Source organism: Homo sapiens, chromosome 6, assembly GCF_000001405.40.
Source record: "Homo sapiens chromosome 6, GRCh38.p14 Primary Assembly".
NCBI classification, from domain to species: Eukaryota; Metazoa; Chordata; class Mammalia; order Primates; family Hominidae; genus Homo; species Homo sapiens.
The window spans coordinates 295,453-322,337 of record NC_000006.12 but is presented as its reverse complement, the minus strand read 5'-3'; the positions used below and the strand labels follow the sequence as shown (position 1 = coordinate 322,337).

At 46.4% G+C, this 26,885-nt stretch overlaps 1 protein-coding gene across 5 annotated transcripts in view, besides 12 other annotated features; it reads right to left on the bottom strand.

Annotated features, from left to right (window-relative positions):
- The window catches only part of DUSP22 (dual specificity phosphatase 22), a 58,869-nt gene that overhangs the window by 29,018 nt on the left and 2,966 nt on the right, over positions 1-26,885 (bottom strand). For 3 of the 5 annotated variants that reach the window (NR_104473.3, NM_001286555.3, NM_020185.6), the window contains exons 2-3: positions 17,677-17,710; positions 10,376-10,458 (exon numbers count right to left, since the gene is read on the bottom strand). The exons of 1 other annotated variant lie outside the window; for it this stretch is intronic. Coding sequence is in view for 2 of the 4 variants with exons in the window: in NM_001286555.3 (NP_001273484.1) it covers positions 10,376-10,458; positions 17,677-17,710 (117 nt within the window). In the remaining 2 variants the exon portion in view is untranslated. The remainder of the gene's footprint in view (positions 1-10,375; positions 10,459-17,676; positions 17,711-26,885) is intronic. One more of the 5 variants, NR_104474.3, reaches the window with a different exon arrangement.
- Positions 1,739-2,038: an enhancer, noted in NCBI's record as "active region_23827". NCBI's record gives its function as "activates an Ori minimal core promoter by ATAC-STARR-seq in GM12878 lymphoblastoid cells {active_cell/tissue: GM12878}" and the evidence as "EXISTENCE:reporter gene assay evidence [ECO:0000049][PMID:35858748]".
- Positions 2,819-2,878: an enhancer, noted in NCBI's record as "active region_23826". NCBI's record gives its function as "activates an Ori minimal core promoter by ATAC-STARR-seq in GM12878 lymphoblastoid cells {active_cell/tissue: GM12878}" and the evidence as "EXISTENCE:reporter gene assay evidence [ECO:0000049][PMID:35858748]".
- Positions 2,959-3,008: an enhancer, noted in NCBI's record as "active region_23825". NCBI's record gives its function as "activates an Ori minimal core promoter by ATAC-STARR-seq in GM12878 lymphoblastoid cells {active_cell/tissue: GM12878}" and the evidence as "EXISTENCE:reporter gene assay evidence [ECO:0000049][PMID:35858748]".
- Positions 3,473-3,652: an enhancer, noted in NCBI's record as "active region_23824". NCBI's record gives its function as "activates an Ori minimal core promoter by ATAC-STARR-seq in GM12878 lymphoblastoid cells {active_cell/tissue: GM12878}" and the evidence as "EXISTENCE:reporter gene assay evidence [ECO:0000049][PMID:35858748]".
- Positions 5,823-6,132: an enhancer, noted in NCBI's record as "active region_23823". NCBI's record gives its function as "activates an Ori minimal core promoter by ATAC-STARR-seq in GM12878 lymphoblastoid cells {active_cell/tissue: GM12878}" and the evidence as "EXISTENCE:reporter gene assay evidence [ECO:0000049][PMID:35858748]".
- Positions 7,817-7,996: a silencer, noted in NCBI's record as "fragment chr6:314342-314521 (GRCh37/hg19 assembly coordinates)". NCBI's record gives its function as "represses an EF-1alpha promoter that drives an FKBP-Casp9 reporter gene in an ReSE screen in HepG2 liver carcinoma cells {active_cell/tissue: HepG2}" and the evidence as "EXISTENCE:reporter gene assay evidence [ECO:0000049][PMID:32094911]".
- Positions 8,838-8,907: a silencer, noted in NCBI's record as "silent region_16804". NCBI's record gives its function as "represses an Ori minimal core promoter by ATAC-STARR-seq in GM12878 lymphoblastoid cells {active_cell/tissue: GM12878}" and the evidence as "EXISTENCE:reporter gene assay evidence [ECO:0000049][PMID:35858748]".
- Positions 9,158-9,217: a silencer, noted in NCBI's record as "silent region_16803". NCBI's record gives its function as "represses an Ori minimal core promoter by ATAC-STARR-seq in GM12878 lymphoblastoid cells {active_cell/tissue: GM12878}" and the evidence as "EXISTENCE:reporter gene assay evidence [ECO:0000049][PMID:35858748]".
- Positions 17,323-17,372: an enhancer, noted in NCBI's record as "active region_23822". NCBI's record gives its function as "activates an Ori minimal core promoter by ATAC-STARR-seq in GM12878 lymphoblastoid cells {active_cell/tissue: GM12878}" and the evidence as "EXISTENCE:reporter gene assay evidence [ECO:0000049][PMID:35858748]".
- Positions 18,192-18,271: an enhancer, noted in NCBI's record as "active region_23821". NCBI's record gives its function as "activates an Ori minimal core promoter by ATAC-STARR-seq in GM12878 lymphoblastoid cells {active_cell/tissue: GM12878}" and the evidence as "EXISTENCE:reporter gene assay evidence [ECO:0000049][PMID:35858748]".
- Positions 24,702-24,791: an enhancer, noted in NCBI's record as "active region_23820". NCBI's record gives its function as "activates an Ori minimal core promoter by ATAC-STARR-seq in GM12878 lymphoblastoid cells {active_cell/tissue: GM12878}" and the evidence as "EXISTENCE:reporter gene assay evidence [ECO:0000049][PMID:35858748]".
- Positions 25,532-25,691: an enhancer, noted in NCBI's record as "active region_23819". NCBI's record gives its function as "activates an Ori minimal core promoter by ATAC-STARR-seq in GM12878 lymphoblastoid cells {active_cell/tissue: GM12878}" and the evidence as "EXISTENCE:reporter gene assay evidence [ECO:0000049][PMID:35858748]".

Sequence of the window (26,885 nt, the reverse complement as noted above, 5' to 3'; positions counted from 1 at the left end):
TAACAAAGATGTGTGTCTCCCAAGATCACGTGTTCACAGGCTGTGAATTCCATTGCATAACACCACATAAAAGCAAGACGCTGGAGGATGGCCCCACCATCATTCCCTAGTCATGCTGTCCTAGCATTTTCTCCCATGGTTTTATTTAAGAGCAATGGCTTAGATACACTATGTAGATGATATGTATACACTATGTAGATATGTATACACTATGTAGATATGTATACACTATGTAGATGATATGTGTACACTATGTAGATGATATGCATACACTATGTAGATACACTGTGATACTGTGATGCCCAAATCTTCACGTCCAGCCGAGACCTCTCTCCTGAGCCCTGGACCTGTATTTCTATCCAGTGATGAATATCACATGAACATTCCACCCATGACTGAGCTTGGTCCCTTTCTTCCACCCAGCTCTGTTTCCTGGAGCACTCACATCCCTGGATGGCAGAGCCATGGGTACTTATAGCCTAATTAGCTGTACCCTCAGGCATCCCTGACTCCCCAGTCTGAGAAATGACTCTCTTTCTGTATTTTGAAGACGTCTGATGAGTTTATGGCTGTTGTAACTTCTCAATGGATTGTTCCTTTTTTTTTAATGTAGTTTCCCTCTTTACCCTAATTATTATTATTTTTTCTTTTGCTTTCAATTCCATTTTATCTCACAAAAACTATCACTATGCCATGTTCCTTTTGCTTGATTCTTGCTAGAGAATCTTTCCCCTTCTTTCATTTTCAACTTTGTTATGTCACTTTATGGAAGATTTTCAGATCAAATCTGACTCTTTCACTTCTAAAAAATATCCAGTCCCCAGCATCCCAGTTCAGACCCTCATCACTTCTAACGAGGATTACTTCAAGAGCTTTCGAGGGTCTCTGGGGTACCCAACTCCCTCACTCCACTCTAACCTTGAGACAACATCCTGCAAAAGAAATCGGAATGTGTCACCTGGCTTTGTTCATGAATCTTTGCTGGGTCTCTGCTTACTGCAAGATGAAGTTCAGACTCCACAGCTTAACAAACAATGTCTTTGCTAATCTGCTCTGAGCCTGCTTTTCCAGTCCAGCCACCCTGGTGAGCTCCCAAAGTGCCAGGACACACCTTCCCTTGCATGCCCCATCCCTTAGTGCACCCTGTACCTCTGCACACACAGCTTTCTCTACCCAGAATCCCACCTCCAACTCACCTGTCATCTCCATCACTGCCTGGCAAACCTCTATGATCATTTAGGACCACACCAGATTTTCACCTTTGGTGAAGCCTTGCTGTCTTGTCTGCCCTGCAGTGTTAGCCGCCTCCCCTGGGTGCCCAGGGCCCTTGCCTCTGGTATGCATTTTTAAGGATTTACACGCCTGTCAATCCTTAATGTTGGGACACATCTCACTTCTCTTTGTATTTTATCCCCAATCCCTGCTGCAAGGTAGGTGCTCAATAAATGTTTGCTGAGTCTGGAGGAGTAACAACTTCCAACGTAGCCAAAAGGAGAACTGAAGACAGCACCACCCTCACCCGTACTGACCACCGCCTCCACTCTATCATCAGGTGGGGCTCATCTCCCCCTCCCTGACCTGCCCTGAAGCACTAAACCTACAGAAGACACACCCCTCACCCTCCCTCCCCACTGAGTCAAACCGCACTAGTCCTATAAGGCTGCCTCAACACCCCTCTCTTTACAAAGTCTTCCCCAAATCTCCCAGCCCATGACCATGCAGCCCTTGCGTGGACTGGCAGAGCCCATGCCATCTATGATAGGCACTTTGGCACCCAAAGGCAACCAGGCTGCAGTGGTGTCTATGCACACTACACTCAGTCCGAACACGGAGGAGCCCACGCGCTGCATGCTTCTCCCAAGACCTTGGTTTCGATATCCTGGCAGATCTTGCCCTTCACACATTCCCCAACGTGGACAGGGTGAGATGCAAACCAGGAAACCCACTCCAAGAATGCAGAGTCCTCCACACACCTGTGCCAGGTGACTGCTCAAGTACAGCCGTCAGGAGGAAATGCTCAGACACCGGGACTCAACATGAAGGCAACATCTAGGAAGAGTGTCCTGCAAAAGTCTTCAGTTGTAAGGAGAGGCTGGTCAGTGAGCACGAGCCCTAGAGAGAAGGTCCCCAGCTGAAGGACAGGGTACCTCTAGGAAGCCAGGCCAAAAGAGTTCTTTGATTTAGAAGTTTAAAAAACCATGTCCTCCCTAGACTCAGTTAAGTACTGGAAGATCTCAAGCCCTCTGAGTCCAGCCATGCAGGAGTTCTAGGGCTCCATTTGCAAGTGAGTCTGTGGTAGCAGGACCAGCCAGTGGAGGGGCCGCTCTTACACACCCGACTGCCACACGAGAAACCTAGATACAGCTTGCTTCAAGAAAGAGCGATTACTAGACAGTTTTCGATCCCTGCTATAATCATTTCTATTTGAGTCATATCTATTTAAATCTGGGGTTGGCTTCAAACAAATTTGCCTCAACACACGAAAGCTGCTGTAAGCTTTTGGTACAGCAAAGTACCACTGATTCTGGGTGGCTTCAAAGAGGTTTTCCTAGAGAGATGAAAACAACTGAGGTGTGCTGGAAACAACTGTCAATCTGAAAACCATTCCAGGTCAAACAGCAACTGGTTTTCAAAAGACTTGGACCTTTCTAGCAACTTGACACCCACAGTGTTTTTCGGTAAGATAGCTGAATTCACCCACGCTGGAAACAATGGCCAACGCAAATGGGAAATCTTGCCCAGTGCTTCAAGCTGTATCCCCCGGGCATCTGTGAGTCCTAAAAAAGGGCACAGATTCATTTTGTGTCCAATCATTCAGGTAGAAATAGATCACACAGGAAAGAAAGTCTAGACCAGTAAATACATGTCTTGGGCCATCTTCTCCCTTTGAAGATTGAAGATTAAGATGACTGAAATAAAGTGGATGACATACTTTGCTTTGTACCAATCGGCCGTGGACAACAGGATGTAGCTTGCCTGACATCATGCATCACACATGCATCTATGAACACAGCGCAGCCAAACACAGATCACCTTCCAGCCAGGCCTGAACATTCAAATGAAATCTACCTGTCATTACCAGACACCCAGAGCATGGCCCACAGACCCCCTTCCCTTCTTTCTCCCACTGTCTTCACTCGAATAGATACTTGGACATGATCTTATTGTGACAAATAAATTCAAGAATTTTTTTTTTTTTTAAATAGAGGAAAAAGTGGGAATCATCCTTCCCTCCCTCCCCTCCCATTCTAGTTCTCTAGGAAATCACCAGTTTGAGGAGTCTGGCCTGGTCCTTTCAAACCCTTATCTGTGCATTATCATGCATATAAATGTAATACAGAAATACACCATTGACTTTAAACTTTACATAAATGTGATTATATGATGGGTATCATCCTATAACTTGCTTCCTTTTCTTAACAGTGGACTTAACCCTGTGAACACACAGACGTCTTCCTTTTCTTGTTGAATTGCTGCCGAGTATTCCTTAATATGGATGAACCAGCACTGACCACTCCCCTTCTGCTGAATATGTGGGTTGGCTCCAATTTGTTGCCATTACAAACAGCGCTGCCATGAATGGCTGCACACTTGAACATCTGTACACATCTGTGTGTATGAGATGTGTGGCTTTGGGGGTTTATCCTCCTTGTGCCTGGAGAAGGGCAACCTATAGCTTCTGTGACTTGCAGGTTCTGGACAGGAAAGGCCCTGGGGTCCTGAGAGCTGAGGCCTGCTGTGGTCACCTGGGGAAAGGCCCTGGGGTCCTGAGAGCTGAGGCCTGCTGTGGTCACCCCCTGGGGTCCTGAGAGCTGAGGCCTGCTGTGGTCACCTAGGGAAAAGGTAGGGCTGGAGGTGATGGCCTGCATGTCAGCCTCAATGGCTGCTGGAGGAGGGCCACAGGCAATGAGGCTCTCCCTTTACAACCAGAACACAAGTCCCTGTGCCCTGAATGTCCTCTTAGCTTTTCCTAATGAGGATAAGCTCCATGAAGTCTGTGACAGCGTTTCCACAAGCTGTGTGCCAACCCTGGCATGGGGCTTGACCATGGCAAATCCTCCTTTAATTGACTGTCACTGTCTGTGTCTTGGATGCATGGTCCTCTTTGTAGAGCCAAGCTTTTAATGACAAGCAAAGGTAGCTCTCTAGATTTCAATCAGAAAGTCACAGGAGCTGCACAGGGGATTACTGGTTGTAACAACTTAGGAAAAGATCATTCTGAACCAGAGGCCACAGCAGCTCTGTAGAACAGGACATCCACAGGCACCGCTGCTTACTAAGGAAGTGAGGAACTACACAGACTGCCCATATAAGCGAGGCTGCATTGCACTAACCGATCCTCTGGCTTCACAAATTGCTCATGATAAAGAAATCACTCTTGACCCCACTCTACTTTCACATCCTAATGAGCCACAAGGGGCCAAAGACGTGATGAGACATGATTTCTCACTTTGGAACGGGGCTAAATGCGTGATAAGACATGATTTCTCACTTTGGAACGGGGCTAAATGGTGCAAATCTCGCCTTTCATCAGCAGACATCTGCAGAGGGGCCCCTGCGTGCTGGATCCAAGCCGAGTGCTGCAAGGACCAGAGAAACCCCAGCACGGCAGCTGCCTGTGTGGGCTCCCAGGCCAGCTCAGGAGCCCGATGTGGGCCATGAACACTTACGTCATAAAGCACAGGTTAAATGGATGCTTAATATCCTACAGAAGCAGGGACAGTGCACACGTGTCTCATGGCCCAACTGAGAGTACAAACTGAAGACATTACAGAAAAGGGGCCGAAGTCCTGAGCTCGGAGGACCCTGACGGTGTCCCTCTCAGAGGAAGGAGAGCTGGGGCTGAGCTCGGAGGGAGGGGAGAATTCATGTGAGCAGGAGAGGGTGGGAAGAGAGGAAAGAGAATACACACATGCCTTCTTCAACTTTAAACACCCTTTATCATCTTGCTTCTGGCTTGCTTTACATTTGGGAAGCCAACAAAACTTTTGTTCAAGAGAAATGGGGTGGATCAGCAAGAGGAACACGTGGCAGGAAACCAGGGTCCCTCCAGGAGACCTCGGCCTCAGGCCCACGTGGCCGCTGGGCACTGACCCGGGGAAAAAGGATGGGGCCGTCCAAGCAGACTGGGCGTCTCACCTTGGTGAGTTTCCTCATCAATAAGCAGGTAAATAAAGACAGAAGTACAGGCACACAGTTAACAACCAGAGGAAGAAGCCAACTACAAACAAAACTAACACAAGTAAAGTCTTGGCATCAACACTTCAAAAAATGTCTTCAATGTTAAAAGAAATATAAACAGAATCACCAAGAATAAATGTCTGCATATGAAAACATCCCATTCTTTTAAAAACACCATAAATGGTTCACACTGAAAACAGAAAATATCCAAGCTGAACTCTAGCTCATAAAATCTACCTGGTATATACATACAATACCCTGGTCTTCATAAATGAGTATAAATCATTTTTTCTCTACTTGATCCTACACTGTCATCTTACAGTATGTGTCATTTTTAAAAAGGTAAGGTTCTTCATGTTAGAAGCTTAGTGAAGGCATGAGAATACTTCTTAAAACTTTTTTTTTGTTAATAGTGAGAAATAGTTTTGTTTCCTGCAGGTGCTCTGCTTAAATACACAAAATGAAAAATGAAACACCGAAATTTTTACATTAGAAAGAGTTCTGTTTCTTTTTTTCAGGGGAAGGGAGAAACCTTTCATTGCTCAATATTAGTTTCTCAGCAACTACAAACAATATCAGGTTTCTGATTTGAAAAATCACTGTCTTTGCAATAGGAGTTTTCACCAGCCCTCAAACCTGGAGCCATCAGTAGACGCTGAAGACACCGCTCCCACCCGTCCCCACAAATAAGGAAACACTTTTCAGCACACAGGGGCAACTCCCTGACAAAGTCCTGAGCACAGAAACAGGCGAAGGAGGATTTTGCTTTTTCCTCTTAAACAGGTCTGGGCTTACTTTCTATTGAAATTAATATATGCGGCAATGATTTTCCGCCATTTTACTAGCATCATGTGCTCCGAAGTTTTGATACCAAAAGTGTAGTCCTGAAGGGCTATGGCTGGCAGGAAGACCCTTGCCTCTGTAGTGAGAAGGCCTTGGTTCCAGCCCTGGCCCTGCCACTTGCTGACAGATGATGTGAGAACCAGCCTGGTTAAGCCATAGAGGCACTAAATAACACCATCCACCTTGCTGGACTCAGAGTTCTCAGAGGAAGTCATGTCCTGGCATTCTCCACCAGCTGGAATGCCAGGGATCACATTTTCTGAATTCTTAGGCATCGCCAAAGGCCCAGTCAAATGTCTCCAGATTCAACGGCAGAAGAAGGATCTCATTCTCTGGGCTTCCACAGGCTCTGTTCCTATGGGATTTGCCACCTGCTCCAAGCCACAGCTCTTCTCTCACTGTCACCAATATTTATAAAGCAGCTACAACGCGTATCTTGTGCATACACCAAAGGCTCTGCCAGGGAAGATCTTGGGATGAACTCACTTCTGTTACCCACAGTACCTGTCCCAAGACCTGGAACATAGGAGGAGCTCAAGAAATGAATAAATCAGTAACCCTTTGTCTTCAAAGGGAAGAACTTTCTGGAAAGGGACGGGATGTGTGAAGAGGGTATTTGCAGCAAATAACAGCAAAAATCTTGCTAATTAAAAGGAAAGAAGAGCAAAGCTCTGTGCTGGTGATGGCATGGCAGGGAAAGGCACTTTCATACATTGCTAGTACAAGCACAAATAGCACAACCTTTTTCAAAGGTGATCTGGTAAGATCTACCGATACCACTAAGGATATCAGAAACATCAGTCGTGCTAGGAGAGAACAGAGGCAGTGGGGCATGCTGGGAAAATCCCCAGTCTGGGAGAGGAGTCCCGGCTTCCCATCAAGCTACCCAGACAGCCATGGGAATCCCAGGCAAGTCCTTTCCTGTCTCCCAACGTCCAGGTTTTTGTCCACCCAATGATAGAGTTAGGCTTGCTGATCTCTAGACCCTGTTTAGCTGGGATTTCTGTCTCCGACAGAGAGCAGTGGGGCATAGAAACGGGTCAGAGCTCCTCAGAATCTCAGATGTGAATTTAGGGCTTACTAGAGAGCTTGAAGGTCCCCAGGTTTCTATTACGTTTCTAAGATCTTCATTCTGGAAGGTCTACCCCTTAGCTACTCTTCTGAAGAGGTAGTAATTGGAGACATAGGCCTTTTTCCCTTGGCTGACCACCTCACCCATCATGGTCCAGTGGATAAACACATCTTCTCTCATCCACCCAAGACGCATCAGAGACCACCCAGCCACTCCCTGACCAGAGGCAAGGCACAGCCACTCTGAAGGCCTGATAACAGTACCTTCTATTTTCTTTTTCCAGCCAGGCTGCTAGGAAGAGTACAAGATGCTATGAATGCTATTTTGGGAAACCCCAACCCCCAACAAATTACCCAAATAATGGGGTCCAATCTAATCCAACCAAAAGCAACCAAGTCACAAGTTCCTTAGTTCCTTCCTAAGTAAAAATGGGAGCCTCCTTACTTACATCCCCTGGATTTCACAGGACATGTTCCATGGGGGTCTCAGTAGGAGGCACATCACATAAGCAAGCACATACAATGTCTCCCGGCTCACAAAGGCTGATACATGTCTGCACAATAGGGCTCTCAAGCCTTTATTCCGACAACACAACTGTGAACCTTCCAGAGGGGAATAAAGTGTGCTAAGTTTTCTAAACTTGCATGGCCACATCCAACAATATGAATACCCTCTCTCACTTAGTCTCCATCACAATAAAGGCAGAACTAGAGTTTCCAAAAGCCCTTTGTAACTGATGCTAAGTAACCCAGAGCTTTAAACTCATTGAGATGTTTGTTGGAAATGACCCAAAGAAGTATCCACAGTGTAGTGCCCAATACGTCGCTTCACAGCAGCAGGGCTCGCAGGACACCTGCATGGATGTAGCAGGACCAAAACCCTTCCATTTTAGACAGTAGCTACCTTCCCACTTCCTACCAAGCCCCAGCCTGGGGCTGCCCAGAGAAGCCAGCGGCCATTCAATAAATACGTATGGTTTTGAAGATCTCGGGAAATAAATGAGGCCCAGCTCTCTCCTCTCCCACCATTTATCACCCTCACTTAGGGGCTCTCACCAGCCAGGGGTCAGCTCACTGCATTTGCTTGACCTCGCACAGTCTCCCCGCTCACCTTCATTCCCTGCCCCATTTCTCTCCCGGGATCAGGGCTGGCAAAACAAGGAGCTGCTGAAGCACCAAACCCGTCCGCTAATTCCCCACCGACTCCAAACACATCATTTCCCTGACTCATCTCAGGCTGCGTGAGGACACAGCTTATGGATCTGGATTTGAAACTCAAGACAGAAGACTGCCTTTGTGCCCCAGGCAGACAGCTAAACAAAGATTTGGAACTTCTGAGACTATAACTTAATGTGGGCACCACCAATTCAAATAACTTTTGGCCCCTCACTTTTCCCCACTGTGCAATCAGAGGCTATTGTTTTAATTTTTAAAATAAGAATATATCATGAATTACTTGTGAAATTAAAGATTGATAAAATGCTAAGAGGGGCAATACTAATACATTATGCTACAAAACAGTGGCATAACAATAAATATAAAATCACATGGAAGTACTTATTATGAAGCTAAGATAATAATAGCACCCGGAGACTACAATAGGGTGTCTCCAAGTAAAAGCTGTCCCAGTGAAGAAAAGGGGTAGCACTTCTCTCTCTCTTTTTTTAAAGGCAGAATTTGTCCTTACAGACTGAGCTACACAGGGAATAAAAAGAATGTGTAGTGTGTTGTGTCGGGAACACAGTTTGCCCACAGCTCTGAGGTTTTACACAATCAGCGGGCTCTTTATACCTGGGTTACAAACCCACCTGCTTTACTCGCTAGCCTGTGGTTTCCCAAGTGATAAGGGCTGGAGCTCTTTGATTTCTAACCCTGGCAGATCTCCTATCTACACAGAAGTTACAATGTGAGCAGATTTAAGGGTCATGTGCACACATGACAGTGTGTTCCATTTAATGGAGTATGAAGCAGGGAGGCAGGCCTGGGGCTGAGGGTGGAGAGGGCATCTCTGCAATTTATTAAAATAAAGGAAACCTCAAGCCTCATCTTGTGATTTAAGAGGAAGTCAATCATGACCAGTTTGCAGTTTAACTTAGCATCTTGGCCATAGCTTGGCTGTATTTTAAATACAAACTATTGTTGACAGATTAAAAAATGGAGTGGTTATTTTCAAAGGAACTGTTAGGCTCCAAAAAAATGTTTTGTTGTTGTTGTTATTTCCAATAAAATCATGCTGGAACACAAATTACAGCACCTTAGCAAAAAAAAAAAAAAAATTATGAGCTAAACAATACAAGGAAGTAGGAGCTCGGAGATCTGGAGAAATTAATTGAGGTTTGTTCACCACCTATGATTCTCTGGTACTACAATGTTTAGTAGAATCATTTATTATTCTACATTCTCATCAATTTTAGCTTACTTTATACTAACTAAAATCTGGCAGCCCTAATGGCTAAAGAAAATAGATACATTTGAAATAAAAAACATTACCTACTCTTGCCTAATATAAATTTAAATGAAAACAGCCTGAACCAGGATTCTTTCTTTCAGAACAAGCCACCCCTCCCTTTCCAACACCCCACCCTAAAATAGAAAAACACATACACATCACAACCACACAGCATTATTTTCTAAAAGGAGGTAACTCGGGCTCTGTCAAGGCTAATAAACATAAATAGATTTTACCTCTAGCCAACAGCTCAAACCGTCCATTAGGGTAAATTTAAAGATGTTTTTGGAATCAGTGCACAAGCAGACACACCCTGTTTACCCCGAAAACCTAAAACACAACAGCTTCTACACCGAGAGTCTCCACATTAGAGCGGCCCTGGGAACCCTCCAGGACGATTCACCTTCTGTTTTCTGTGACCCCTGAATGCCAGTGGTAGCTATTTGAGTTTAAATGGGACAAAATCAGGAAATGAGCAGGCTGAAGTTTTTTGGATTTTAAAACCAGAGATAATTCTGAAAGGAATGAAAATGGGGTTTAAATGTCCTTAAGGTCCAGAGGGAAATGCAGCCTCAGCTTATTCCTAGGCATTTAGCCACGAAAGCCAAAGTGGCAATGCAGCAGGAGTGTGATCAGAAAAAGCACACACCCTCGCGCCACGCTACAGACAGCGTGTTAACATCAACACGGCCTGAACACAATGGGAATGCCGCCAGAGATCACAGGAGTACGTTCGCATTGGAGAGAACCTGGTTGCCTTCATTAACGTCGTAGGTACTCCCACGGAATACAAATGAGGACACCCACACACGCCCCACGGTGCTCTCTTACCTCCAACATAGGCCTGGCACTATCGTGGACAGACAGAATATGTGTCACCTTGTTCTTGCTCAATTGTTCCGCGTCTCTGGCATCTGTCAGAGAAGAAAGGGGATGGACATTTTGATATCTTTGCAAGTTAATTACTCCTAAAGTCTAGCCAGAAAAAAAAAAAAACCCACAAAATGACTTGCATATTTCTTTCCTGAAACTTCATAACTGACCATACATGTAGGAAACTTAGGGCTACTGCTTTCATATATTTTGCCTAACTTTATTTCTTTTGTTTTTTTTTGAGACGGAGTCTCACTCTGTCGCCCAGGCTGGAGTGCAGTGGCGCCATCTCGGCTCACTGCAAGCTCCGCCTCCCGGGTTCACACAATTCTCCTGCCTCAGCTTCCCGAGTAGCTGGGACTACAGGCGCCCGCCACCACGCCCGGCTAATTTTTTGTATTTTTAGGAGAGACGGGGTTTCACCGTGTTAGCCAGGATGGTCTCGATCTCCTGACCTCGTGAGCCGCCCGCCTCGGCCTCCCAAAGTGCTGGGATTACAGGCGTGAGCCACCGCGCCCGGCCTTGCCTAACTTTATTTCTGATTGTCTCATCTTTTGACCCAGAGTGAGAAAGAAAAAAACTTTCTATGAGGAAGAAGAGTCCCTTTAAATGATCAGGTGCAGAAAGGCCTCTGTAATATAACAGCAGTCTCCTCTCCCTCCCCCTTGAGCTAAATGGTTACCTTGAAGCCATCTGCTATGTGGTCCCTAGACTGATGCCAAGTAGACATAAAATGCCATACATCATAGTTCAATATCGTATAGCCAGGCACTAACCAATGTTATTTCTATAAACCAATGAGAATTCCTGCTGAACAATTTTTTGTAATTGCCACTCTCCTGATTCGTCTTTTTTTCTTTAAAAACTTGAGCCCCTATTTTACTCTCCGGGGCACTCCCCAAGGCAACCTGAAAGTGTGTTTCAGGCTACAGTCCTCAAGCTTGGCCCAAATAAACCCTCTGTATTAATTTTGCCTCAGCTTCTTCCTTTTAGGCAACAAAAGTGTTAATCTAGAAATTGAAATGCACTTAGATTAATAAACATTGTAATCATGATGGATTACATGGATTACATCATCAAGAAGGTAAATTTACGAGACCATTTTGTAGTTAGCATTTGTAAGAGATGACCTTAGGTCAGTCTTTCTGCATGAGACACATAATATTAGGGATATTTAAAATATTTTTTTAATTCAATGGCCTCTTAATGATGAGAATTCTTAAAAAGCTAAATACAAAACCATTAACTCTAGAAGACAAAGGAAACTGCCCATTACTTCTTTCCCCAGACGTCAAAAGCAGGGACAGTTCTGGATTCAGACAGGACTGTGGTTTACATCATCTATATTCACTTTAAAGCACAATTAAAAAATGAAACTTTTTCTGGAAATTCCAAACAGAACTGTCTATCAGCTATCAGTTGGCTATTAAATTATCTCCATATGAAACTAAGAAGATAACAAAATTATATTCCCTTCCAATGTCCCTACCTGCAAAAAGAAGACCAAATGGTGTGATCCCCTGAAGTGGAACCCTTCTACTAATCTACAAAACAGGGGGCCAGCAGGAAATGAGGAGGTCCACTTCCCTACACCCCCATCCCAGCCTGGCTGAACTTTCCTAAATGATACAGGAGAAATGGATCAGAAGGCAAATGTTTAGGCCGGGCATGGTGACTGACACCTGTAATCCCGGAACTTTGGGAGGCCGCGACGGGCCAATCACCTGAGGTCAGGAGTGTGAGACCAGCCTGGTCACCACGGCGAAACCACATCTCTACTAAAATTACAAAAATTAGCTGGGCGTGGTGGTGTGCACCTGTAAACCCCACTACTCAGGAGGCTGAGGTAGGAGAATCGCTTGAACCCAGGAGGCGGAGGTTGCAGTGAGCCGAGATCGCCCCACTGAACTCCAGCCTGGGCAACAGAGTGAGAGTCTATCTCAAGCAAAACAAAACAAAACCAAACAACAACAACAACAAAGAAAGGCAAATGTTTAATTATCATGGTTCTGGAGACTATTTCATGGCATGGGAAAATGCTCAGGGTATAATGTAAAGCAGGTACCAAACCATAAATATGACACAAACCCAACGTATAAAAATGCAGAGACAAACACATGGCAGGGAGGATGGCGGGACTGGTACAAAGACAGCCCCAGCTCAGAGACGGAATTACAAGGGTTTTCTTCCTTCTTTATAGTATGTGTGTGTGTGTGTGTGTGTGTGTGTGTGTGTGTGTGTTCTACATGAGTGGCTCTGAAGTTTAACACCCTAGGAACTGCCAAGAGGCTAGTTAGAAAGATCTACCCTGGGGCTGAGGAATCTCCATCTCTAACAAGCCTTGATGATGAAGCAGAAGTCAAGAAACATTGTTCTAAACATTCAGCAACGTCAGGAAAAAAAATTTAGGTGATATTAAAATACCACTTTTAAGACTCTTTTCATTGCTCCAACCTCTCAGGCTTCAAATTCCAGGCTATTGCTTTCCCAGATTCAAATTTTCGAGCTTCAAATTTAGGGCTATTGTTTTCAAGTATTTTGCCTAAGTTTATTTCTGACTGGCTCATCTTTTGACCCAAAGTGAGAAAGAAAAAACCTTTTTATACGAGGAACATGAGCCCTTTAAGTTATCAGGCTCAGAAAGGCGTCTATAATATAATAGCAGTGTCCTCTCACTCCCCCTTGAGCTAAATAAATAGTTACCTCAAAGCCACCTGCTATGGATGAGAGCCATCTACATAGCACATGGGGACTCACTGCCAACCCCCAACCCCTCACAAGTTGGGGTACCAGCAAGGCTAGCTTAGAATTAATTAGGCAGAAGCTAGAATCGTTTTGGAAGCCACAGGCAGCCAGTTCCCACATTCACACCAAAATGGGATTTTCCAATCGCCACCAGCATGGGACATTTTAGAAAAGCAGTGAAACAGACAAAGCCACAGCTTCAGCGCTCACAGAACCTGGAGGAGGTGGGGCGAGGACCCAGTAGAGGCGGGGCAGCCTGATGGCGCCAGCTCATCTGACCCACCCACCTGGCTCCTCCAGACACCCATTCCACCTGGCATTTGAATGTCAACCATCCGTATTTGTTTCAATCTACTTTTCTCCTTTCACAAAGCTTTATTGGGATATAATTCACATACCATAATACGGACCCTGATCAAGTATATGATTCAATGGTTTCATACGTTCACAAGGCTGCACAATAGCCACAATATATAACTTTAGAACATTTTCTTCACCCCGTAAATATGCTTTGATAATACAGAGTGAATCTTTTTAAAGTGGCCTGGGGAAAAAAGCATACATTTCTGAATAGAGAAGACCACTTGATATCACGACAGCCCACTGCCGGCTGGACTCCAAAGCACAGGGAAGCACTCCGGGGCCAGCACCTCCCCTCTTCCTCACCGCACGCTAGCACCGTGTTCGCTGATGCATCCTTTCCCATAAGGCACAGGCTCTGCCCACTTACTTCAGAGTGCATAAAATGCTTAATCAAACCTGCTGGGTGATGACCCTGGAACTTTAATTCTTACAGACTTCACACTATTGGTTGTCCTGGAAGGCGACCTACAATCATGAGCAGCGAGGTAATGAGCTGGGAATCCAGCTGTAAGGCTCAAGGTGGAGTTTCCTAATGTGCACAGACACAAGCTTGTACATTTCAAACTAGCTCCTCCTGAGCACAGACCTAGAGGGGCAGAACTTAGCGCTTTGGTGCTCAACATGGGGTCCTCCAACCGGCAGCAGAGCATCAAGTAGACCCCATGTCTACTTGATCAGAACATGCGCTTTAAGAAGAACCCCAGAAGGTCATGTGCACCCTAACACTGAGCCCTGGAGGGAATGACCTTTGGCCCGGTGCCAGCGGGCCCCTCCCCAACTGGCAGTCACAAATGCAACAGGTTAGTAATTCATAAAACCAACAGGAAGGTTATCAGTTAGAATTCATGTGGAAAAAATAAGTCTGGATGGACATATGCTGACCTGTTAAGCATGGTGATTTTGTCTCAGTAAGCTGACAGCAGACTACCTCTGACCAGGCTGGCCTTGTCCAAACAACTGGGTACCCACCAGGACTGTCTGTCTTACTGGCAGGCACAAAACACAAGCTCAAGACTGCGAACATGGTCTCAATGCACACCACTCACGTACACACAGTACCTAAGAGCGTTCCCACTTTTCTAGAATTCTGTGGACATCTTCAAACAATGAGGGCTTCGTCTGTCAGCTGACATCTACTGTCGCTGGTGCCAAGTTGTAAGGAAGCCACGGACCCACCCTCCGGCCCAGGGAGGGGCTGCTCTCTCTGGCTTCCACTCCCTGCCTTCCCTCCTGGCTTCTGGGCAAGGCTGCCTGCTGCATCCTGGAGCCTCAACAGAGAGGCTCTCACCAAAGCATCGAAGACCCAAAGACCGGGCTCCAGAGCTGGGTTTGTTTGTGGTTCTTCTCCAGGAGCAAAAATCACCAGGCGCTACAAAACCATTTGTGGATTCATTACAAAGCTTTTTTTTCTTAAGAGTTGCAGAGTGACAGGCGAGGGATCCTACTGAAAGGAAGGAGGGAAGAGGAGAAGGAAGGGAGGGAGGGAGAGAAGTGGGGAGGGAAGAAAGGAAACGGGAAGGGGAAGAGAAGGGAGGGGAGGAAGGAGAAGGGACAGAAGAAGGGAGTGACTGTTTACGTTCCTTTCTACTCTACTGGTTCTTGTGTTACAAGAGGCACATATTACTCGTAATTTTAAAAGAGCAGGATAAATGACTATATGAGATGCCAGGCAAGAGCACAGATGACAGCTGGATTCACCGCCCAGGAAAAAAGAAAGAGGCCACATTCCACATTGGGTTTCCACCCTTGCCAGCCAATGCCACCCAGCTGCCTACTGCAGACCTGGCATCGATCGGGCTCCCATGGCAGTAGCAGTGAGTGTGTGGGTGCTTATTTATCAGGGCACCAGGTATTGGGCACTGAGCCCACCGAGGGCATCACCCATTGTCTGGGTCAGCCCCGCTACAGCCCTGTGAGACAGACTCCATCTTCCCAGTCTACACCCCCAGGTGTGTAACTCATGTGAGGACACACACTGGCCCCTTCCTGTTCTGCACCTGCTGTTGGACTCTGATAGCCTGAGGGCAGGGACACTGGTCCACATTCAACTCCCAGCACATCGTGTGTTCCCGATAAGCTTGTGCAATGAACAAGTGAATTCACAGCACAATTGGGGAAAATACTTCCTCTCCTTCGAGCCACTCGCCAATTCACTGTACTCTCATTCCTTTCTTTTAGATAAGCCTTGTACCTGGAAAGCGTTTAATAAATATTTGGCTAACGAGTGAATAAAACACAACCTCATACCAATATCAGAATAACTTAAGGTAATAATGCAGCATTAACCCTATGAACAAGGAGAGGTGGTGGGCTGTTTACAACACTCTCATAGACGAAACCACAAAGCACAAGATCCAGGAACTTGCAAGGAGTCCTATGTTATTGAATATTTAGAAAACAGGTATAGCTTGTAGTGTGAAAAGAGTTTTAAATATTTCCTTAAAGCTGTCCTTCCAAAAAAAGTAACCTTTCATGATTAAGGCTAAAACTCTCACATACTGTTGTCAGAAGTGTTGAATTTGGTTCATATTTATTAAAATTTTTAATTTCAAACCTTTCATCTAGCAATTCTACTTCTAAGAACTTATCCTAAACTCTGTTCTCAAAGACACTCCCTTTCCCCATGAAAACAGTTAATAACTCACTAAATAACTCTGACGTTTGCTACATTAATGTATCCTGGCCTACTCACCACAAAGGGTTTGCTGCTTTTTCAGAACTACAAAGCTTACTAATTTAGCAAGTCCAGTACTATTTTTAACATGTTCTTGTAGCAATTAGCAGCTGTCAGCTCTCTGTGCTCAATTCTCTTTGAGGCCTAATAGTGAGCTGGGGGGATACGGGTGTGTGTGTGGAAACAGACATTATAGAGCAACAATAAAGATTATTTGTACAATCAATTTGAATCTGAACTCAGAAATTTCAGCAACATCCAGAAAGCCAACAGGAGTGGCCATGTTCTGGCTTGTTAGGGAAGGGAGGAGCATTAGCTGCCTATGACATGGTCTGGCTCTGTCCAACCTAACATGAGTGGGGACCTGCCTGCAAGCTTCCCAGGTCTCTCCCATCCTATTAAGGGCCCCTCATCTCTATCTTCCCACCTCATCTCAGTGATTCACTTACACAAACTCTGAAGGTCACCTGGCAGGGGGACTTGGCCCCTCCCTGGAAGCCGACAAGCCCAGTGACCACCGTGCTCCAGAGCTGAGTGAAAATAGAGTCAATAGCTGACAGTAAATCAATCAGTACGGAACAAGTGGCAGGAAATGTGTGAGAAGAGAAGCACCAGATGAGAAGAATCTGCCAGAGATGAAATTGTCACTCTTGTTTCCCAGGTGACTTAAAAAGAACAGGCTTCTGAAAATTTCTCAATAGTAACTAAAAAATGAAAGTTGTAAAAGGTTATAAATAAGTCACATGATTGCTAAATGTGCCTGTTGTCCAACACCTTTTGATGATAATGTTCCAACAGGTGTGGAGAGTTCAAAGGAGAACCAGGGCAGAGCTGGAGCGGGCACAGCCTCACATCACTCCATCAGGTGATGGTCAAGGGGCTGCGGTGCACCCAGCAAGGGGCTTGGGTGCAAGTGGGGGCCACTCCCAGAACAGACTGTAGACTGAGTCTACACTTTGCCTGTCAATCTCACCCATGAGAAGTCTAAAGCTGATCTTTTAAAAAGTGAACTCACTTTTGGTGGAAACAGTCCAAGTGTCCACGAACAAATAAATGGAAGCAAAATGAGGCCTATGCACACAATGGAGTATTATTCAGCTTTAAGAAGGAAGGCCATTCTGACACACGCCGCAACACGGATGAACTGTGACACTGTGCTCAGTAAAATAAGCCAGTCCCAAAAGCACAAATACTGCATGATTTCACTAAGAGGAGGCTCCGATAGTTGTGAGATTCATAGAGGCAGAAAGCAGAATGGTGGCTGCCCGGGGCTGGGAGGAGAGGAATGGGGAGTTGGTGTTTTAAGGGACACAGTTTCAGTTTGGGAACATGAAAAGTCCTGCAGAAGGATGTTGGTGATGGCTGCACAGCAATGCAAATTACTTAAAGCCACTGACCTATACACTTTAAAATGGTCAAGATGACACATTTTATGTTATGTGTATTTTATCACAACAATAAAAAAGCAAGAACTCACCTTTGAAGTTGCCGATGTACAGGCCGGGCAGGATCTAGGAGAGAGACAGACACAGACATGAGCATGGCAGACTCTAAGTGGATGGTATTGCAGAAGGGGGCCTCATCCAGCAGCAGGATCCCTGCAAAGGCCAGGTGCTTCCCCAGTACAGCACCTCCCTGACAGACACGCGGGTGACCCAACATCCCCAGCGGCCTGTGGAAGGCCGTGGGTTGGTGCCCATCGACTCGCTGGGTTTAGGGCCCGGCTTCGACCCCGTCATCCTCATTTGCAGCCCTGCAGTGCTGGTGGGCATTCTGAGGGTCCAAGTCCCCTGCCCCGCCTGCCCACCCTGGCCCCACAGCCCTGGCGGCCCTGCAGCTCTGCACTCTGCTGCACGAGGCCACTGCACACACGGTGCCCACTGCAGGCGGTTACACTCCCGCCCACCTCACCCTTGGCCAGTCCTGAGCCCCAAGTCCAGGGTTGGCCCCCGGCTCAGTGACAGTAGCCCTCTATGTCCCCTGTGTGGCGATGCTGCTGCGAGGGCATGACCAGGTGAAGGCCCATCTTTCTGTCGGGGAAAACTCCTTGGGCAGCAAACGAATCCTGTTGCTCACTGCTGCCTCCCCAGCCCCAGGCCAGGATGACAGTCAACAATGGGTTGTTAAATAAATGATCCAACCTCCACATATATGCAGGTTAAGAAGAACACGTCTTTGTTGCAAAATGTCAACTCTTCTAAGGCAGTGGTTCTCAAACCAAACTCCCCATCAGAACTCCAGAATCTGTTAAAAATACACATTTCTGGGCAAGCCCTCCTCTCCACCTCCAGCCCCCGCATGGAATGATTTAGCAGGTCGGCAATGAGAAATTGGGGTGGCTTCTTTCACACCCACAATTTGCGAAGTAGGAAGCAAATTCTTGTCTTGCCAGCACTTTGCATGGACACTCTGAAATTTAAATAAGAACACAGTACCACTTGTTAAAGTATGCTCACGATATCACTTGCCACGATTTCCAAGCACATACAACCAGCTCGTCTTGGTGACGCTTCACCACAGATCCCTAGATGTCCTAGCCTCGCCCCCACTGTCTGCCAACCCTGCAGCTCCCCTATCTTCCTTCACTCCCACTGAGGAAGTCCAAAGAGCCTGTAGTACAGTTCTTCATGTTAGCTGATTTCTTCAAGCATCTTCCTGACCACCGGCTGCCTCGCTAAAAACCCATGGCTCATGTCTAGTGATTGCAGGGGATCTATTGTGGCTCATGTCAGGGCGGCAGTGCTAGGCCCAGAGCTAGTCTCTGTGCAGAGGGACAACCAGCCAAGGGGCCACGTAATGTATCGGCCAAACTGGGACAGTCCAAGAATGAAAAGAGGCTTTGCTAATCATTACTCCGAGACAACAGTCTATACTTTATCATTCCTATCTTGAAAGACGGGAACAATGCAAGTTCGTCCTGGATGTGGATCCCACTGATGTTCTCTGGCAATGCTTGACTGCACAGAGCTTTGCTGTGTGTAGTCTCTCATTCCCGAGGGTCTCTCCTGCCTTTTTTAGGATGTGGCAGTAGACACTAGAGAGCATCATTGCCATGTGGCTCTTCTGTCTGGCAGTGCAATGACCCCTCCTTGACCAAACTTTAGTCAGGTTCCTCTGAGTCCTTTTCTCAACAAGGCCTGGTCCTTGCCCGACCGAGTCCAGTGCGAGCAGAGACCTGCTAAGCGTATCCCCTAAGACCCCACCAAGCTCCTGTTCCTCCACCCCGATGTCTAATCCAGTTCCCCTGAGTGGTATTCCACCCACTCCCTCACCCTGCCCTTGGCTTTCCATCCACCCTTGTTCCTGCCATATTGGAGTCGCGTCCTCCCCTGTTGTGATGGTCTCGAATAGAGTCTTCCTTGCTGGCTTAACCAAGTGTCAGGATCACTTTTTACAGCAGTGACTCTACAGTTATAATCACTAGGCGATTTTCTAGATCAAAATGTTTCTAGACTATAAGCATGTTTATCTGCCCAAAGTCAGAGAACGTATCATAGTGGCTAAAGTTCCTCAGGCACAATGCCGGGCACTCAGCGTAGAGGTGTGACTGAGAGAGACAGGGCCCTGCCCTCATGAGCAGCTCACACAGGGAAAGTGGAGGTGACCTGACCACTCTGGGGTCGCAGAGGGCTTCCTGGGGACAGTGACACTCAGGACCTGCAGCCCAAGAGCAGTGGGCAGACAGGGAGGGGACAGCAGAACGGTCAGCCTGCAGAAAGGGTCTTGTCTCTACTGGAGGGAGTGGGAGAGAGGTGGAGAGAAGGCGGGCGTTAGTGCAAGGAGCTGGTCCTGCACAGCAGACACTGTGGCCACTGGCCACTATCCAGACTCCAAGTTAGGTGCCATGAAATGGAATACGACGCCTAAGATGTGTGGGGCTGTGAGGAAGACGATCTTACGCGTTTTAACTTAATATATCTTGAAAATGGTATGAAAAACAGGAAAGGTACAGCTGTGTGCACGTACACTCCCTTCGTCACCATGCTCACCTCCGTGACGGCGATGGCGGGGTCCTGGAGGAGGGCTTCTGCATTTCTCTCTGAGCTTGCCTCCGCCATCTGACACTCCAGTCCTGTGCATGCACTATGCCAATTTGCACTTTTTTTAAATCAAGAGGGATTATTCGGAAAACAGATTATGGCCCATTTTTGCTTTTTTTCTTTGTACATCTACTATCTTCTCTACTAAGCACAAATTAATACATTTTATATTATCTTTAAAATTAAATGAGGGCATAAGAGTAGACCGTCTCTACATTCTAATGTTGTAGAACCATGATGTTCTGACTCCTAAATTCATCGTCTGGAGCCCGGCTTGCTGCAGGACTATCTCAAGCAAACCACTGTTTTCCCACCACCGTTGTCAAGTCCTCCTGCCCCTGATGGTGCCACCTTCTCCCAGTCACCCCGAATGAAAACCCAGGGCTCCCACCGCTGTGGCACCTCTCTCTCAATTCTCTGCTCCCCTCCTCCCGGGAATTAGAAGGCCTCTCACAGTCTCCCTCCTCAGCCTTGCGCAGAGCCTCAATTCACACAGGGGTTACAGTAGTAAACACTGAACTCATTCCTCTGTCCTATCAAATTAATTTTCTAAAGCCATATTCTTCCTGGGTGATTTTCTACCTCAAAATGTTCAGTAACAACCCTTTTACTTAAAAAATCAAGGCCAAACATTGAACTAAATATTCAGCATGGCTTCCGCAGGTTGGCTCCAACCGATCTCTGAAGGATTTCCCCCAACTTCTTTCTTATGTCCAGCCGAGCCAGGTCATCCCCATTCTCCCAATACCCCTTACTGGTCCCATCTTGCAATAGCACTTTCTTTGCCCTAAATATTCTTTCTAAACAGAGAAGAGGTTCCCACTGTTTGGGGTCCTTTATCCCTTGGGTATGCTCGAAAACCACAAACCCTGTAATGGCCATTTATCTTATTGGTTTTCCAGTCTCTGAAACCCTTTCCTAGGTTTGGGGATACCCTGGCCCCAGGGAGTCTTGGTGGGAAGCAGAGCCCAGCTGTTAGTATAGAAGCTGCCAATGCCAGATACCTGCTCACGTAAGCCTTTGCTGCTACATGGGTGTGACCCACGTGTAACAAGTCTGCACGCCGGCTGCAGGGATAGCCTAGAGTGTCCTCTTTGGCAACAGAGGCAGCAGGGCTGGTGGCACATTCAGTGTCCACTGGCTGTAGCATCAGCATCTTGCGGTAGCCCCAGAAATGCTCTCACTGACCACTTACAGCATCTGCTCCTGCCAAGGTTGCCCCTGAGTCTGGCTCTCCAGCCTTCCAGGCTGTCTGCCCTGTTCTACCTAAGGTAACCACATTTGGATGCTGTTGCTTACAGCCAAGGACCCTGATGTGGGCTTTCAACCTGGAAAAATGCATAAATGCAGAAGAGTGCACAGATCTTGAGGCAAGTCACAGGCACAGCAGGTCTGTTCCTGCCCTGCCTCTAGTACCGAGACCTACCCGCCCTGCTAGGACCAGCTCAACCAGGAACCCTCCAGAGATCACTCCGACAGGAGACTCTGCCCTTTCTGGACTTCACTGCTGCTCATTTGCCATTTACTTCCACGCAGCAGCTCTCCCACTCATGTGCTCCTCTTTGAACTTTCAGGCTCAGCTTCTTAGCGTCTCCCTTCTGAATTCCTGCAGCAGCTTCCTAGTGAGCTCCCTACCTCCAGACTGAGTGGTCCCTCCAAAGGATTCCTCAAACCATCTCAAGTGCAAAGTTGATTGTGTGACTCTTCAGCTTAGGGCTCCGTGTAGCTTTCAGCATGAAACCCAAATTCTACACCTTGGCAAGGGAGACCTTTCAGGAGTGGACCCTCAAATGTCTTCAGCCTGAGCCCGAGCCCGAAGGCATTCTCCAATCTCACCCACATCTAAGGAAGTGACCACGGTGCAACCAACCAACATGGCTATGCAGAGACGCAGGCCAGGGCCCCCAAATTCCAGGCTGTTTTATGGGAAACAGCCCAATTTTCAAATATTGTCAATTAAATTTTAAAAACCACTAAAATACTGTGGTTGACAAACTAAACCCATCTGTGGGCTGACCAGGGCCCATGGACCTCCAGTCTACGATCTCTACCTGCTGCCTGTATCTTCTTTGTAAATATATTTTTGAACTCGATTGGTTCTCCCTTGGGTAGGTACTCAAGTCAACATTTCTCCAATGAATGAGTGAACAAACAGACAATGTGAACAGGGTGAGAGGAAAGGAGAGAGAAAAAATGATGATGAGTGAAGCCTGATACGAGCTGTGCCAGGGAGAGGGAACGCTGCCCCTTTCTGCCCTGAGTGGACTTCCACATGCGAAACGGTGCCCGGCCACACCTGTGGCATGGGCCTAGTGCTGGGGAGCTGCTGCAGCAGCGTGCTGGCAAGGATGGGAAGTCTGACCTGAGGAGGCAACTTCTTAAAAGGAATTGAAGATGAGTATTTTACATACATTTTAAATATTTTTAAGTAATGTAAAGAGAAGACCAAATTGTGTCAGTCAACCTTTAACTTCATGTTTCAGACCAGGAGACTGAGCTAGAGTTTCAAGACTGGAAATGGAAAGCAGGTTGCTCAATCCCTCTCTGTAGTCACAGTATGATTCTCTTCCATATAGAATTACAAACAAGATTAAGCAGGGCTGGTTTCAAGGAGACTAAATAAAAGGCCCATGAATATTTCAACTTCTACACTAGTCAGCTTCGTAATTCAGACTTGAAACCCAAAAATTTTGACCCATCTATTTTCACGATATTTTTGTTGCTGGTAATCCCTGAATACAGAGAAAGAGAACATGAAATAAAATCAAATAATTTTCCAGCAGAGAGACGATTTATAGAGGAGACCTGGGAACCACAAGGTGTTTATCTGCAACAACCTGGCTGACCAGTCAGGCCACGCAGGAGCTGAGCTCAAGCCAGAAGCAAGAAAAACAGAGAGAAAATGAAATCATTACCACCTGGTAGAAAGCAAGGACAAGTTGGAAAAAAAAGCCTGTAAAGGCAACTTGGGAATGTCCCACTATGCTGAAGTAATAAGCACAGAATTGGTGCTAAGCATCTGTGGGCCTCTGAAACTGCTGCTCTTTCCCTTTGCTGGGGACACTGTTCCTGAGTGGCCTCCCACAAGATGACCATTTCCAGGGAGGTCTCTCCTGACCACCAAACTCCCTGGCACTCTCTCTCTCATATCGCCTTGTTTTATTTTCTTCACCACATTTATCAGTGACTAAATGGCTGTATTCATTTCCTTACTTTCGGACTGATCTTGCAGCAGAGGGTGCATCTGTCTTGTCTCCTAATGTGTCCCTAAAACCTGCCCAGAGTCTAACACGCTAAGAGGAAGTCTGAATAAACGGTGACGAAACAGCACAGGCCACAGAGGAAGACGGTCTCTGGCATTCCGCAGGTCAAAGATTCCTGTTTTCTGTTACAAGACCGTCTGGGCATAGACAATATAGGCAGAATCCTTCTGCAGAAATGCTTTGAAATCACCCTAAAGATTCTCCACGCTTGATGGTTCCTCCTGATGGACAGCTTCACAGAAATGCAAAAACACAAATCCTCAGCCACAAAAACGCACTTAAGCACAAAAGAATACTGCTTCTAAGGCAGGAAATATTTTGAGTTTACTTTTTAAACATTTATTTTAGTCCTTCAGGATGCATGGCATCTAAGAACCCCACCCAAACTGATGCTGAGAAGTAAACTCCTGAGCAAGCAGCTGCCCAAGGCCATGTGTGGGGTGGGGGTGGCAGCGGAATCTTAATTCTTTCTATGTCAGAAAGGACTTTCTGGGTTTCAAAGCCAGGCATGAAGGGGAAAACTTTGGTGGATTCCTTGAAGGGTTAAATGTCACAGAGACATTTTAAATGCCATTTGGCCATGGACTTAACCAGTTTGCATATAAAAAGGGAAGAATATGAGAATACTCTCCTGGGCCCTTAGAACACTGCCTTTAACATCTGTTCTTCAACACGAAATAAAAATGTAATATTAAATGGAGAAAAGAGAGAGCCCTCGGGGGGTGGTGTAGAGGAAAGGAACCAGAGCCCACCGGCATGTGGCCATCTGTCTGTCAGTCCTGCAGCAGTGGCTGAGTGTTCATTTCCTGCAGGAGGCTCCTCTCCAAGCTGCCTGGGACTGATCTGCATGGCAGGGTCTTCGTGTCTTTCCTATTAACAGCTCACTACAGGATCTAACACAGTGTCTTGACTGTGTTCAATAACAATATGGTGAACAGGTGCATGGATGGATGACTGGATTACGCAGGCAGCCAAGTCACCTGCTGCCAGGTGGAAAAAATGGATTTAGCAGCACAAAGGTGCCTGACCTGCCAGCCCTTCCCGTATGAAAACAGAGCTTCTCAACCCTGTAAGCCCTACTCCACCTTTTGATAACTCTCCAGTTCCAGATCACACAGGCCTCAGGAAATTCTGAGAGGAAGAACCCTCAATAGTGGTTCTCAACTGGGGATGATTTCACTCCCCAGGGGATATCTGCCAACATCAGGGACATTTTTGGTTGTCACAGGTGGGGAGGTGCTACTGGCAACTATTGGGTGAAGATCTGAGATGTTGCTAAACCTCTCATAATCCACATGGCAGTCTCACAAGTAATTATCCTGAAATGTCTACAGGTGTAGCCGTTGAGGAACACCGGTCTATGCCTAGAGGGAACATATTCTCTTTGAATTATAATCCTTTCCCAACTATACTCCCTCATCTTCCTAACAGGGCAAGAGCCATCCTCAAACAAGTGTCAGTCACATCCAAGAACACTCAAAACAGACTGTATTTGCACTTCACAGTTTGGAAAAATGTGTTCTAATAAATTCCCATTTGCTTCTCCCAATAACCCAATTAGTAATTGGGGAAGGTATCATTACCCTCATTTTACAGCCAGTAAGGAGACTGGATTAGCTAACCACCTAAGGTTTCTTAGTTCTATACATCTATGAATCCAGGAAGGAAAAAAATCCTGAAGCTTAGAAACATTTAAGTGACTTCTTCAGGATCACACCCATGAAGCAGCAGTGGTGGAGGTGCCCCAGATCAGGCTTTTTGTTAGCCAGCCCCTCTTAGCAACAGTGCGCTCCCCATGGAAACAAGATGCACCCACTGAAGTGAGGCCTCCCAGCACCATGAGAGGCTTCCCGAGAAGGACAGGGATGGCAGCCATTCCCACCAGGCAGGGTGCTTTCAGAGGACACACAGCAGGGAGGAAGGAAGAGGCCACAAGACCAGGCAGGCCGGATGCTTGATGAGCTAAACGAACCCTGGCAGTCAGTGGAGGGCAAGATGCCAACCAGAGGGTCCTCATATCCTGCCCTAGAATGCAAGGCTTCAGCCCACTTTTAGGCTGATCAAGATAAAGACTTCTTGCACATGAGAAGCATTTGGGGCAGCCTTCTCTGACATAATGTTTGGCTAGAGACTAGTCGTTTGTTTTGTTTTTAATGGGGTATTGTAGTACTGAAGACTAATAAGTAGACAGTGAGGATAGGAGTTTTGTTTATAGGCTCTCCCCCAAAAGATTTGAGGGTTCAGACTCGAGAGAACTTTGAGTCAACTAGGAGTTTTCAAAGGCTCCACAGGAACACGACATTTGCATGCAACACCCTGTTTAGTTTAACCCTAATCTTACCAGAGACATTTACTAGACTAATATCTTAGCAGCGTGGTGAGGCACTCTGCATTGTGGCCGAGCCAGACTGTGGCTTTGAGTCCAGGCTCTGCTACTCACCAGCTGGGTGACCCTGGCAGTTCCCTTAGCCTCTGTGTACAACCAGAAAACAGGCATGAAAATAACAGGATCTACTTCATGGAGTTGTGGCTTACTCTATGTGGTAAAGTACTCAAAACACACCATAAACTCATTGGCAATTATAATTTTGGCCAGTGTGGGGCATCTACCTAGGAATTGCACACACAAACAAAAACAATAAAAAAAAAGTTTTAGTTTCTTGCCTGTAATTACCCCCTTCCTTATCAATGTCAAACATAAAGGAAGAGAGGAGGTGATTTTGGCTATTTGACAAGTAATCGAAGCTATGAGGAGCTTTTCAAGTTACTTTTTAGGAATTTTAAAACTTACTTGGGATGAATTAGCATCTCAGCTCAAAGGAAAGACTTTTCCTATCTTCAAAATCAGTGGAGACTGGGTTCTGCCCTGCCTGGCATTACTTATGCTACCTAACCTCTCCAAATCTCCATTCCCCAATCTGGGCAAATATAAGGTCGTTTGACCTCATAGGGCTACCGTGAGGCTGAGATTTTATAAAGTGTTAAAAAAAATGGTTCACAACTGTGTTGTTGTTGGGTTTTTTTTTTTTTTTTTTTGAAACAGGGTCTCGCTCTGTCGCTCAGGCTGGAGTGCGGTGGCACAATCACGACTCGCTCCAGCCTAGACTTCCCGGGCTGAGGTGATTCTCCCACCTCAGCCTCCCAAGTAGCTGGGACTACAGGCACAAGCCACCACACACTCGGCTGATTGCTTTGTTTTTGTGGGTTTTTTTTTTGTATTTTTGGTAGAAACAGGGTTTTGCCATGTTGCCCAGGCTGGTTCTAAACTCCTGGACTCAAGCAGTCCACCTGCCTCAATCTCCCAAAGTGCTGTGATTACAGGCACGAGCCACCACGCCCAGTCCTGTCTTTATTTCCTCATCTTTAATTTTCTAGAATATAAA